Below are 12,854 nucleotides of genomic sequence, written 5' to 3'. Positions count from 1 at the left end.
ACCCTCAGTCTGATGCCACAACCCCTTAACCCCCAAACCCCCAAGCTCTTAAGAGCACAGGACTGACTATTCACCCTCCAGGAATAGTGCCAGGAGGGTCAGGAGCTGCAGGGCCTAAGGAAGCCTAGGAATGGTCCTGAGGCCTGAAAGAAGACCCCAGCCGGTACCAAGTGGCCCCACACCCACCTGAACCAGGCTGGCTCTGCCCCTCAACAGGCTGTGTGACCTTGCAGGGCCTTAACTGACCCATCTGTAAAATAGGGGCACAAGAGCCCTATGCCCCCACATTGAGTGCTAACCCAGTGCTGGGCACTAGGATAGACAGGAGATACCATGGACCCCGTGGTCAGAGAGCTCCCAGTGTAGGGACACACAGAGAAAGGTTTAAAAAAGTCTGTGCAGAGAACCCTGAGTGCTCAGTCAATGGGCAAAGTGCTGGGGAGCAGTACCCAGAGGGCTTCTTGGAGGAGGTGAGGTGGGAGGAGGAAATGCCTCTCCTCTGACCCCATAACCAGCCTACACAGGATGCTCAGGGAGTGGGTGTGACCCACTTAAACCCAAGACTGGGGTTGGACCTTGAAGAAACCCAGAACTACAGACCACATCAGAGTGACAGGGATGCAAAGTGCCCAGCTCAGCCTGCCCATGATGCTCCCTTTGATCCTGAACAGCTATGGGAGGTGAGGCATACTAAACTGAGCAGGGCCCACCTGGCCCCTGGAAATCCTGGAGGTGAGGGAACACAAGAAACAAGTCAGAGGGTAAATGCTGGGTGGGCTGACTCCGTTGGAGCAGGGCCCAGGGTCTCACAAATATCATCTCCTGTATTCTTCAGTTCCTCTGACACATGCACCAGGCTCCCCTCTCAAAACCCACTGGTCCTCAGGCCCCAGCCACAGCACAGTCTCAGTCAGCTCACTGCTCTTCCACCCAGCCTGCCTCCACTGGGCAGTGAAACAGCCTGCGCCAGAGCCAGCACCACTTCAAGTGGTTATGCGTCCCTGCACCTCTCCGCAGCTCTCTGAATGGCATCTGTGATCATCCCCATTTCCCGCATGAGCAAAATGAGGCTTAGAGAAGCTAAGGGACCTGCCCAAGGCCACATAGCTCAGGAGCGCCCACGTTCATCTCCCTGGCCTCTTTGTGGCTCAGTATCCCTGACCTGTCCCAGGCCTGGCCATTCTTGCCCCAGCCCTGACCCTTCTCCTGTCTGGACAAAGACCACACCAAAGCCCACGCTCCTGCAGAAACTAGGACTTGATCTGGCTGAGGCTTGTGGTCAGAAGACCCACAGGAGGTCCAGGAGGTAGTGGGGGTCTCTGTGTACCCTGAGACCCCTGGGGCATGGGGGTCTTCTGAGGCTTGGATGGGGTAGTAGGGGAAGCTCCCACAGGCACACACAGGGATGGGGGTGAAGGGGGTGAAGGGGCTGGCCATATTCTGTGGCTTCCTCCCTGGGAAGAGTCAACTTCAAGGCCCCTATCACCCATACTTGGGAGGAGGCCGCCCATGGGATTCTGAAGCTGGGGCACACGTCCTCTGGAAATGAGACTGAGCTCTACCCACCTCTGCTCCACCCTGCTGGAGGACACTGCTGAGAAGCCGGGCAAGGCCCACCCTCTCTGAGCCTCAGTGGCTTCATCTGCACACTGGCCCGATAATGTCCTTTGAGCCCTTTGAAAAAGCCTTTGAGAATAGGTTTAGAGGTTTTCCTTGAGAAAAGGGGTTTGGAAGAACTGGTCTATTTTTGGTTGGGGGCACTTGAGACACTGGGGTCAGTGTACCATAGCAGCTTGACAACGGCTTGTTGAACACACAAACAAGTGGCCGGGTTCTTATCCTCAGCAGGTCTGGTCAACAAACCCTTCCCAGGTGCCCACTCTGGGCCAGGACACTGGTCTGCCCTTTGCTCCTCGCTGTCCATCTACCTGTTCCAGGGCTGCCCAGCCAGGTCACCGGGGTCCCTCTGCCCAGCTTGCCCGGAAGCTGCACGTCTCCAGTGGGTCAGCACTGACGTCAGCAAGACTGGCCGGGCGTGGAGCCCGCCACCTCCGGAACCACCAATTAATTAACTTTTTCAAATTAATTTCCCAAGCAAAATTCCATAATTACATCTGTCTCCATCAGCCCAAGCTGGGCAGGCAAGAGGACCCTGCAATGAGATGGAATGTGGTGTAAGGGGGTGGCCATAACAGCCCTGGGACCAGGTCAGAGAGGCCACTGGGGGTTAGGTTTTACCACAGTTGGGCACTGGCCTGGCATCCTTATGGATGCTATCTGGGAAAGGAGGGGGCTGAGAGACCAGAGCATTCCAGCAAGGAGGTGGGGGCTCTGGGAGACCCATGGCCGGCCCAGCTCATCCCGGTGCCCCCATCCCCCACCCCGGTGCCCCTAAACCACAGCGGGTCTTGGCATGGCCCAGTAGCAGCACAAGCACCGCGAGGCTGAGGAGGCCGCGGCTGCGGCGTTCTAATTTCCCAAAGGGGCTGAGATTAATTAGCTCACACACAGGCGCAGAGAGGGAGAGGAGAGTGGGAGCAGGAGCGGGCAGCGTCAGGCGAGGAGCTGGCTGGCACTCCCCCCTGCCCGCCCAGCAGGCAGTTGGCGGCCTTGACAGCCTGGGTGCTCTGAAGGTCAGTGGCCAAGCTGGCTGAGCCAGCAGATTGGCACCATCTCCTTCCCAGAATCCTCAAGACCAAGGCTGGGGTACAGTGACCAGGAGGATAGTCTGGGGGGAAGGGCTCCGCTGTCACCACACTCTATCAGTTCTGTGCCATGTGCTCTGTCCACATCATCTTGTTTGATGGTCACAGCAACCCACAGAGGTAGGCATCATGATTCTCCCATTTTGCAGATGAGGACACTGAGGCTCAGAGCTGAGTGGGGCACTGGTGTGGGTCAAGGTCAAGCAAGTGTGGACAGTGGAGGTGAGGCTGAAAAGAAGGCTGGCCCAACTCTAGAGCCCACACTTCTTCCCCTGGACCCCTGTGCAGGTGTCAGGGCTACAGGAGCTCTGGGCCTGGGGGACTGGAACACCAGTCACAAAGCTCCTAAGTGTGTCTGTCTGCGGGGAATGAACTTACCCCTGCCTCAGAGAGCACGCAGGGCAGACTCGCACAGTCATTTCACAGATGAAGAAACTGAGACCAGAAAGGGGAAATGATCTGAGGCTGGGACTAGCCTCTAGTAAAGTCAACCCGATGAAGTGACCTTTAGTGAGCCCTGACCCAGGGCCATGCAGCGCCTGGTGCTAAGTGACACACGGACCACGGGATGGGGGGTCATTGTGGCTATGTCCCTGTATACCAAAGAGGAAGTGCCAGCTCAAGGGCACTTGCTCAACTCCTCCCTGCAGGGTGCCCAGGAGAGGGAAATGGAGCCCCTGGGGAGGGGGTGGAGGAGGTGCGCAACCCTGACCAGGCCCCGAGGCAGCTTCCACAGGCCTAACCATGGAGTTTCCCAGAACCTGTCTGCAGGAAGAACCCAGAAACCCCAAGGGGCATCCATCTGCTCCTCAGGGGATCCCCCACCCACCCATCCACCCTCCTCCCTGGAGTTAAGGGGTTAGGTTAGCAGTTCCAATGCTCTTAGGTTCAAACCTGGAAAGTGCCTTGAGATAGCAGAGGGACCTAGGAGAGTTAAGGAGCTGGGCATGGGGGAGGGGGCTGGCTCAACTAGGAACACTACACATCTTGTGTGTAATGGGGCGAGGGGAGCCCCTCATCTCAGAGACACAGGCTCAGGCCATGCCAGGGTCCAAGTGGGGCTTTGGAGTCAGGATTCCTCTCCTAGCTCTGCAGCCTCCAGCCTAGGTGACCTCAGACAGGTTGCTGACCCTCGCTGAGCCCAACCCCTAGCCAGTGAAATGCAGCCGCTGACAGCCCCCACCTCGTCAGGTCCTGGAGAGGACCTATGTGAAGGGGTCAGTGTAGCGTCCACATGCAGTAGGTGCTCAACTAAGGATAGCCATGTTGTTGTTTTTACTGTCCACATCTGCCAGCATAAGTGTGAACGTCACGGACAAGTCAGGCCAGGCGTGTTGGGTAACCCAGGTCATGGCCCTGGTTCTCTCACCATTTGCTTTTGAGCTCTGAGGCAATCCTTCATGCCTCAGTTTCCCCAGCCCCAAATACAAAGCATTCCCCGTCTAGCCTGCAGGACCATGGGGGGATGGACATGTGGTAGAAGCCTGAAGGTTACAACGAGGGTAGCACCCCACTGGCCAGGCTTGCATCTCCTCTTCTGCCCAAAGGAAGAAGGCCTACCTACACTTCTAGACAGCCTTTCCTCCTACCTCCCTCGCCCTCAGCCCTGCCAGCTCATGTCGGCTCTTCTTAGATCTCCCACAGCCCTGACAGCCCTGCCACAAAGGCACATCCCAAGCCTCTCGCCACCCTGCAAAGGCTCCATTTGCCACCTGGAAGTCCCTGCTCAAGTCTAACATATAGCCTTGCTGTGTGAGCATAGGGGGTGGGAGACAGAGAAAGCCTTGAAACTACAGTCGGCTCTCTCTGCTCCCTCTGATATTAGGAAGCCTCCAGGATTTTCCACCCAACACCCATGGGTTCCTTTGCCCTGGGTCCAACCCATTCCCATCCCTCCCCCAACCCCTGGCCCCCAGCTCAGCCTCTTCACTCAGGTACCTCAGCATCCCCATCTGAGAACAGCCCTAGAGAAGGCTAAATCCAAGACATTCTAATTAAGGAGCCCTTGTTGTGGGATGCCACCCCCAGAAAAATGCCAGGTCTAGTGGAGCAGGTGGAGGGGCATGCTCGCCTGGAGATCCAGGTGACATAATGAGAACTGATGACAACACACCCCACCATCTACTTCAGGTCCTGCGGTTTTGAGACAGAGATGAGAGTCATACCGATCTCACAGGTGACAAACATGAGGTCAGAGAGGTGAGCAGACTGGCCCATGATTACATAGCAGGCAGCGACCAAGCCAGGTGTGGAGCCCAGGCCTGTCCAACTCCAGAGTCCGCGGCACGGGCATCCAGTTTCCTGACTGGCCACTGCTGTTTGTGTCCCTCAGGATGCTTGGGTCCCTCTCTCCTCCTCAACCACGGTCCAGTCGTTTATGGAGAACTGTGTGGCCAGGAGGAGGGAGCCCAACTGGGCCTGAGTCCTTATAGCCACATGCCCTTTGACCACTGCTAGGCTGTCTCAGTACTGTAGGCCCAGAATGACCGGTAGTCTGGGTGTTAGGAGATTGCATCCAAAGCCCTTCATGACCATGAAGCCATTCCCATCAGACTCACTTCTCTCATCTGAAAAACGGCTTTTTTTTTGGCAGCATATGGAAAAGGGGTATATCCTTATTTCTGCCCAGTGCAAGGAAGGCAGGCCCCAACCCCAAAGGCGGGCAGAGGCTTAAAAAGGCTCCCTGAGGGCATACCCTCAGCTCTCAGCACCCCAGGACTTCCTTATACATAAGCCAGCTCTGTACCCATTTTGCAGGGCTGTAGACTAAGAACCAGGGACATGGCCAAAATCTAAGTGGGGGCACTGGATAATGAGGGCCTTGGCAACTAAGGGGACAGGGAGAAGCAGGTGTGTGGTAAGCAGGGAAGGTAGGCAGAAAGACTCCTGGGCCCATTTGATCAGAGGTCTCATTCTTCCCCCCATCTCTGGCACACCCTGTCACCTCCCAAGGACCCCATGCCCCAGGTCAGGGAACCAGCTGGCCACTTAGTGGTCCTGGGGAAATCGACTTTCCCTGGCACTCCTTCTCCAGCCTTTCCTTTTCCCAGCTCCCCTGTATCTCTCCCCCATGTACCCAACCCACTCTGCCTGGGCCAGAGGCCCCGTACTAGAGGGCAGTGGGTTTAACACTCTCATGCCTGATACTTGGACCTCCTCCCCAGAGAGGGCAGAGCCAGGTTGGCTATGGGAAAAAACCATCTCCACTTCCCCACCCACACCTTGCAGAACCCGGTGGACACAACATGGCTGAAGGCCGGGCCTCTTCCGTGTAAGCCTAAACACGGGGCGTCTAGGGGAACAGAGCCCTGACCACAGCAGCTGCGCCTGTGTGTGCCAGTGCCCTGGCCCACTCTATGGCATCATCTAGGGGTAAGCTATGGCCTGAGAATGATCAGGCCCCAGTGTGTGGGGCCAATGGGGTGAGAGTGGCCTATGTGTGCACGCCTATGTGTGCCTGTGTATGTGCATTCGCCTAGGTACGTGCCAGTGGGTGTGTGTGCCAGAGGCTGGGCTGTGGCTGGAACCGTGAGTGTGCTTCTGGAGCACCACATGGGAGCTGTGTGTGCATGGTGCATGTGACCGAGTCTGTACCACGCGTGTCGGCTGGGTGTGCTGAGTCGTGTGGAACTACGTGTGCTGCAAGTGACTGTGTCTGTCCTAAGTGTGTGCCTGGGTGTGCCGCGTGTGGGGTGCGTGAGTGTGCACTCTAACTGCCAGGCCGCAGGGCCTCTCGGGGCTGCTGGGGATGGGGTGACTCACGTCTCCTGAGCTAATCCTGCCGCCCGCCCGCCCAGCTCACCCTGCTCTGCTGGGCTGATGGCCGACAGCGCAAGAGGTGGGGGGGCGGCGCGGGCAGCCGCGGCGGGGAGGCTGGCTTGATAAATAACCTGCTGCTTCCCCAGGCCTCTGAAAAGGGGAGGCTGCAGCATGGGGAAGAGCATGAGGGCGGAGGTGGGGGAGGCTGTCCTGGTCCCCCAGACTCCGGCTGCCCTGGCCCCCTCGGCCCAGGCTGCAGCTCCGGGGTTCCTGTTTCATCGAAACCTGAGCTGGGAAAAGCCTATCGGGTCATCTTGCCTGTCCCGCCGGCCACCAGGCCCAGGCAAGCTGCCCCTCAGGGGACAGGCCCGCAGCCTGGCCTCCCAGCCAGTGGGTGGGTGGGTGGGGGGAGGATATTTCTGTCCAGACTAAATGCAGCTCTAGGCCTCTGTCTGTGTACTCCCCCCAACCCCAGCAGCTGCTCCCAGAGGCGCCCTGGCTCTGCAGGACTGACTAAATATAGGCCCCCCACCCCAGCAAACCCCCCCATGTTCACCAATTCCCAGTGGCCCCACCCACATGAGGGTAGAGGGGAAGGCTGAGGAGCCCACTGTGTGACCTTGGGGCAGCGTATCCCCCTCTCTGGGCTCTCAAGCTACGAAAAACCAAGCATTACTCAGCTCTGGGCCCTACCCTACCTAATGGGTGCTTTTGGAGTGTAGACCACAAAGGTGACTGGGTTGGGGTCTTCGCATAGGAGATAAGGGCTGAGGTCCCCTCCCCAGAGCACCCCAAACGCCTTTAGGCTTATAAACATGGCCCCTGCATCCTGCCTGTTCCTTGCCCAGGCCGGGCAATACCAGGCTCCTCCAATCTGCCCTGGCCGGATCCTGGCCAGGAAACAAGTTGTGCCAGGCTTGGGGTGGAGGGGCGGGAGCATGACAGCTGCTATTTCCTGGAGGCCACAGTCGGGCACAACCCGGATTCCTGCCTGGCTCCACACTCCACCAGAGCCTCTTTGAGCCTGCAGGCCCTCGACAAGGCACCCCCTTCCCCGTGTCAGAGCTATTATCAGACCCCACAGGATCATCCCGCTCCCCTCACTGCACTGGCACAGGCAGGAGGAAGGTGCCTGGATGCAGCTTGCCTCTAGGACTGGGGAGAGGTGGTCTCTGCAGGGTTCCACAGGCTGGGAGGCAGCCCCAGCTTCCCTCCTCCTGCCTGCCTGCCCACCCGGCTGCTTCCCCCAGCCCCACACGCACCAAATTCCCCACATGCCTGTCTGTCTCTGACAGCTCGAGCAAATACTTGGCTGCGCGGGCACCCGCTGTTCTGAGCCTGCTGCGCCTCCTCCCTGCCTTCCCGGGGGGCTTTGCAGACACAGCCAGGGATGGAGGGGGCCAGAGCCAACCAAGAAGCTCGGTGGGCAGTGGGAGAAAGCAAGGGCAGGAGGGACCAGCCTCAATGCAGAAGCACCACCTCCAGGCCCCGGGGCCTAAAGGACCTGGGAGGCCACTGAGAGCCAGCCCAGGCGGGGCAGCAGCTGCCGACACCCCCACTGCCCCCGGACACCCCTGCTGCCCCCCGGAACCTCCCAGGAGGACCTTCCGGAGGGCTCCCACTTGCCTCGACCGATGAAACAGCATCTGCCACCCCCGCAGCGGCAGCTCAGGACAGGGTGGAGGGCACCACAAGGCCCCTGGGGAAGGCTTTGAAATCTGGATGAGGGCCCAGCCCCTCTTGGCAGTCCCAGCCCCCCAGCATAGGCCCAGCCTCAGAGCATGGGGGGTGCATTCCAGCCCTCCTGCAGTGTGCGGGGCACACCCGCCCAGCTGCCAGGCTTGGGATGTCTCCACTTGGACTGGCTGGGGGCCTTATTTGCCCCCATTGCCCTCCTTCCTGCTAGCCTGTCTCCCTCCCAGGAGACCAGTGGAGGAAACACTTCCTGACAACAGCTGGGATTTTCCGCTGGACACCGCGCCTCACTGGCCGGCTCCTTACCTCCCCCCACCTCAGTCCTTCCCCGGGAGTCACCAAGTCACACCCCTACCCGTCTGCAGCAGAGGAATCCTCCCCTCCCAGCCGATCTGCCACTAGCCCCAGCATCCAGGCACAGCACAGACACTGAATGAATGACCTCATGGGTAACCACCTCCATTCTGCAGATGGGCAAACCAAGGTCAGGGAGAGCCCAGAGAGCCACGCATCCCCCACTGTGCTCTTCCTGAAAGGGGTTGACTGCAGGTCCCTTCACTATTCCTTTGCCTCCCACCACACTTTCTGCCTCAGGAGTCAATTGAGCCCTCCCAGGCTTCTGGAGGCATTAGGATGACTCCAAACAGAATCTCTCAGTGTTCTGGGTTCAAACGCCCAGCTAGGCTGCTCTAGATGACACTCCTAACTCTCCTACAGTTCAACAGTGGTCTTGAAAAGAATCCCAAGGTATTGTCAGGGTGATGTTAGACCTTGAAAAAAGCCTCCTCTCCCCATTGCACAGATGGGGCTGCTGAGGACCCCAAGGGAGGGGGAGCTGCAGGCGGCCATGAGTCAGAGGGGGAGCTGGGAAGCCGCCCGGCCCTGCCGGCTGTTGCTGGAAGCAACAGCCTGCATTTCCTCCTCACGCTGGTGCCTCGGGAAGCGTGGGCAGCGGGCGGGCGGGCACCGCCAAGAGGACCCCTCCTGTGCCTGTGGGCCAGCCGCATCCCCCCACTGCCTGACTGGGCCCACAGCCCACTCTCCACACCGGCTAGAGCTCCAGAGAGGGGCTGGCTAGGGGCAGAACAGGTATTTCTGTCCCAGGTATGGGCTCATGTCACCTGAGGACAAGAGGCCCTGTGACCTCAGGGCAGCCTGACCCCTAGAGCTTCAGTGTCCCCTAGCATCAAACAAGGAGACTGAAACATGACCATTTACACTTCCTTCTAGCAGCAAAATCCATGGTTCTGTGATTCCAGAATCCCAACGAGAATCCTGACTTGAAAAATGCCTCCATTCCAAGCATTCTATCTATGATTCTAGACTCCCATGACTAAGAAATTCTAGGCCACCAAGATCTGACCGCCCCAGGAAGAAAGGGGGCCAGGTCCACTTCTGCCTACTGCTATGAGCCCAGTTAACTAATTTCCCATCTAGTTCTGGGGGAGGTGGGTCAGGCAGGAGAGGGGCTGGGTCTCTCCCATCAGAGTCAACAGGAACTGGCATGAAGCTGTCGGGAGCCCCTGGCCTGGAGAGAAGCTGGTCTAGTCCTAGGGGACAGGCCACCTCCTCCTGGCACACACAGCCACTAATGCCACAGATGTCAGGAAGTCAGCCCGCACCAGAGTGAGAGTGGGTGGTGGGGGGTTTGCATGCCTGCACCCCATCCTGCGGCTAGGAGGGAGGGAGGGCGGGCGTCAGGTCAGGGCTGGTCTCTGCTTCTCAGGTTCCAAGCCAAGCTCCACGCTTTATCTTCCTGTCTTCACCACCCACTGCTTCCTCCTTCCCGCCACAGTCCCCTCACCTCCCAGGCCAGTCCCAGCCCAGGCCAGCCGGCAGCCAGCCAGGACAAAGGCTCCCAAGCCCATCTGACAGATGGAAAAATTGTGGTCCTCAAAGAAGATAGGACCCGCCCCACTGGCTTGGCTTAGCAGCCTATTGCTCTCTGGCCACATCTCTCCGCCTTGCCCCTACCTTGCTTCCCAGAATCCTCCACAGGGCCAGTAGGTCTCCACCTGCCAGCCTGTTCACCAGCAACCCCCTACCCCAGTGTCCCCTGACAGTACTTATCCTCACCACCAGTCATCCAGTCATTCATTCATTCACTTTTGTCTGCCCAACTAGCCTATCAGCCCATCTCCCAACACATCCAGCCCATTGCCAAGGGTTATGGGGGCCTCAAAGAGGAAAGAGCAAGGCCTGTGCCCAGCAAGCATTTAAGGAGTCCCTTCTGTGTGCCAGATAGTGTGGAAGGTGCAGGAAACAGCACACAGAGGCCAACAGCCTGTCAAGGGCTCTGCCAGGACTCCATCCCACTAGGCAGTGGCAAGCCACAAACTCCCAAGGCCTCAGTTTCCTTATCTGTATATGGGGATGCTAACAACATGCATCTGTCCCAGGTATGGGCCCATGTCACCTGAGGCTACTGTGGGGATGAAAAAAAGTGAAAGTCAGAAAGCTGTTAACATGGTGCCTGCCACAGAGAGGACTTTCGTTGGGCTACCCATTACCACTGGCTTTGTTACAATCTATTACAACAATAGCAGTTGGCCGGGGGTGGTGGCTCACGCCTGTAATCCCAGCACTTCGGGAGGCCGAGGCAGGTGAATCACTTGAGGTCAGGAGTTCGAGACCAGCCTGGCCAACATGGAGAAACCCCATGTCTACTAAAAATACAAAAATTAGCCAGGCATGGTGGCGCACACCTGTAATCCCAGCTACTCGGGAGGCTGAGGCAGGAGAACTGCTTGAACCCAGGAGGTGGGGGTTGCAGTGAGTCAAGATGGCGCCATTGCACTCCAGCCTGGGTGACAGAGTGAGACTCCATCTCAAAAAAACAAAAACAAAAACAAAAACAAAATAGCAGTTAACGGGGGCCGCAACTGATTACAGCAGCAGCTAAAGTTCTTCAAACACTTATTTGGTGCCAGGCACTGGGGGTACAAGAAGTAATCACTGCCATATCCCATTGCAAGGCTGGCAAGGAGCAGGCCCAATAAGCAGCCCCAATAAGCATCTGATGAATGAGGGGATCAATGACAGGAGGCACGGCCCTGCCTGCAAGGAAGGTATAAGCCAGCATGTTTTCATGGGTGAGGGTGTCTTTCTGCACACATGTGTGTGTATGTAAGCACTTAGGTGTGTTACACGTACATATGTGTGCCTGTGTGAGAGACCTGGGGATCCAGTGATGCCAGGAGCACAGCCACTCAAGCCCACTGAGGCCCCCACCTGACACCACCCCTGCCAGTGATCACAGCAGAGCCAAGGGGACTGTGGCAAGAGCAGGGGCCAGGCCCACAGAGAAAGGCCTGGAAAGATGCTTTGCATAGTTCTGGCCATCGGATTACAGGCCCAGCCTAGGCCCCTACTTGGGTGTGTAGGGGCCGCTAGGGGTTGCCCCACAGGAACCCAGGCCCCCAGTGCCCGAACATTACGCCCGTACTGGCATGGCACACAAGTGTTCCTGCTGGCAGGCTGGGCACGTCTGAGGAGGTCAGAAAAGGTCACAGGCAAGGGAGGGAGTGCTGGGCCCAAGGGCGATGTAGGGTCTGCCAGACAGAGGAGGGCGGGTACAGGGCTCCCCGGGGGCCACCAGGCAGGCCTGGCTCTGCCCTGCTGGGGCCGGCAGCTGGAGGGGAGTAAATATAGCTGGGGCGTCCCAGCCACATTCCTGGGAGGCCAGTGAGGCCCGCCTGCCCGCTGCTCTAAGCAGAGCGCAGCAGCCAGGGCCCAGAGCCGCCACTGCCCTCTTCCCAAACAAACAGAAAAATAAATAAAACCAGCTCTCACGGCCGGCCGGCACAGCTGGTGGGGGAGGGGGCAGGAAGGGGTGGACAGTGGTTGGGGGGTGGACAGGCAGGCGGACCAGTTGCCGCGGTTTCTGTTCCACTGGGAAGGAGGAGGCCAACAAAAGAGGGAAATGGAGGAAAAGGGCAGGGAGATGGTCAGAGATGTCAGCGAAGGGGAGAGAATCCCGAAGAGATGAAGGGTGTCACAAGGAGAGGTGTGGGGAGGTAGGTCAGGAGGGATAGGGAAAGTGTCAGGGGCAGGCACAGTGGGGGACAGTTAGGAGAAGGCAGAGGCAGCCTCTGGGTCAGTAATTCAGCGGCAGGGATGCCCAGGGGGGCGGCGGGGGGTGGCAGGCAGAGACAAAGGGGGCTGTGTGGGCTGGGGTAGGGGGCCGGCTTGAAGGGCCATGAAATATTGAAGAGCTAGGCCAGTGAGTGACAAAGGTCATAGGAAGCAGGAGACTAGCCAGGGAGCAATGGGGAACCCTGAGGCGGAGGGCTGCCCCACCTCTGGCCTGTCTCTCCACCACCTCCATCACAGCCAGTCTCCCCAGCTCTCCTCCTGCGATGGAGGGACAGGCTGAGGGTGGGATGGGCCTCGGGGATTAGTGATGGCAGGGAGACCTCTGCAGTTCCCTCTTCCCTAGGGCTGATCTGGGTACAGCCGGCCTTCCAGAGCTGCCAGCCACCCTATCAAGAAAGCCAGGAGGCCTGTCAACACAGCCGCTGCCACGGCACCTCCTGGGGAAGGAGCGGGAGACATCCAGCTTCTCCTTCCCAGGAAAAATCAGCCAAGCCACCACTTTCCACAGAGACCTGTGGGGAGGGACGGCTGGGCCTCACAGCTCAGCTGAGCCAGCAGGTCACCCCCCAGCCCTCCCACGCTACCCCAGCCTGGCCCCAT

At 58.6% G+C, this 12,854-nt stretch overlaps 1 protein-coding gene across 10 annotated transcripts in view, besides 4 other annotated features; it reads right to left on the bottom strand.

Moving 5' to 3' along the window:
- CXXC5 (CXXC finger protein 5) overlaps positions 1–12,854 on the bottom strand; it is a 36,584-nt gene that overhangs the window by 16,151 nt on the left and 7,579 nt on the right. The window contains exons 1-2 of one of the 10 annotated variants that reach the window (NM_001317206.2): positions 8,091–8,177; positions 1,929–2,152 (exon numbers count right to left, since the gene is read on the bottom strand). The exons of 7 other annotated variants lie outside the window; for them this stretch is intronic. The gene's annotated coding sequence lies outside the window, so the exon portion shown is untranslated. Of the gene's footprint in view, positions 1–1,928; positions 2,153–8,090; positions 8,178–12,854 lie in introns of those variants that run through there. 2 more of the 10 variants (NM_001317203.2, NM_001317207.2) reach the window with 2 other exon arrangements.
- Positions 5,837–6,403: an enhancer, noted in NCBI's record as "H3K27ac-H3K4me1 hESC enhancer chr5:139040914-139041480 (GRCh37/hg19 assembly coordinates)". NCBI's record gives its function as "activates a minimal SCP1, AML or CMV promoter by ChIP-STARR-seq in primed H9 embryonic stem cells {active_cell/tissue: H9 hESC(primed)}" and the evidence as "EXISTENCE:reporter gene assay evidence [ECO:0000049][PMID:30033119]".
- Positions 6,673–6,732: a silencer, noted in NCBI's record as "silent region_16422". NCBI's record gives its function as "represses an Ori minimal core promoter by ATAC-STARR-seq in GM12878 lymphoblastoid cells {active_cell/tissue: GM12878}" and the evidence as "EXISTENCE:reporter gene assay evidence [ECO:0000049][PMID:35858748]".
- Positions 7,955–8,804: an enhancer, noted in NCBI's record as "H3K27ac-H3K4me1 hESC enhancer chr5:139038513-139039362 (GRCh37/hg19 assembly coordinates)". NCBI's record gives its function as "activates a minimal SCP1, AML or CMV promoter by ChIP-STARR-seq in naive H9 embryonic stem cells {active_cell/tissue: H9 hESC(naive)}" and the evidence as "EXISTENCE:reporter gene assay evidence [ECO:0000049][PMID:30033119]".
- Positions 8,883–8,972: an enhancer, noted in NCBI's record as "active region_23247". NCBI's record gives its function as "activates an Ori minimal core promoter by ATAC-STARR-seq in GM12878 lymphoblastoid cells {active_cell/tissue: GM12878}" and the evidence as "EXISTENCE:reporter gene assay evidence [ECO:0000049][PMID:35858748]".

This window comes from Homo sapiens, chromosome 5 (genome assembly GCF_000001405.40).
Source record: "Homo sapiens chromosome 5, GRCh38.p14 Primary Assembly".
NCBI classification, from domain to species: Eukaryota; Metazoa; Chordata; class Mammalia; order Primates; family Hominidae; genus Homo; species Homo sapiens.
This window is presented reverse-complemented; position numbering and strand designations above follow the sequence as displayed.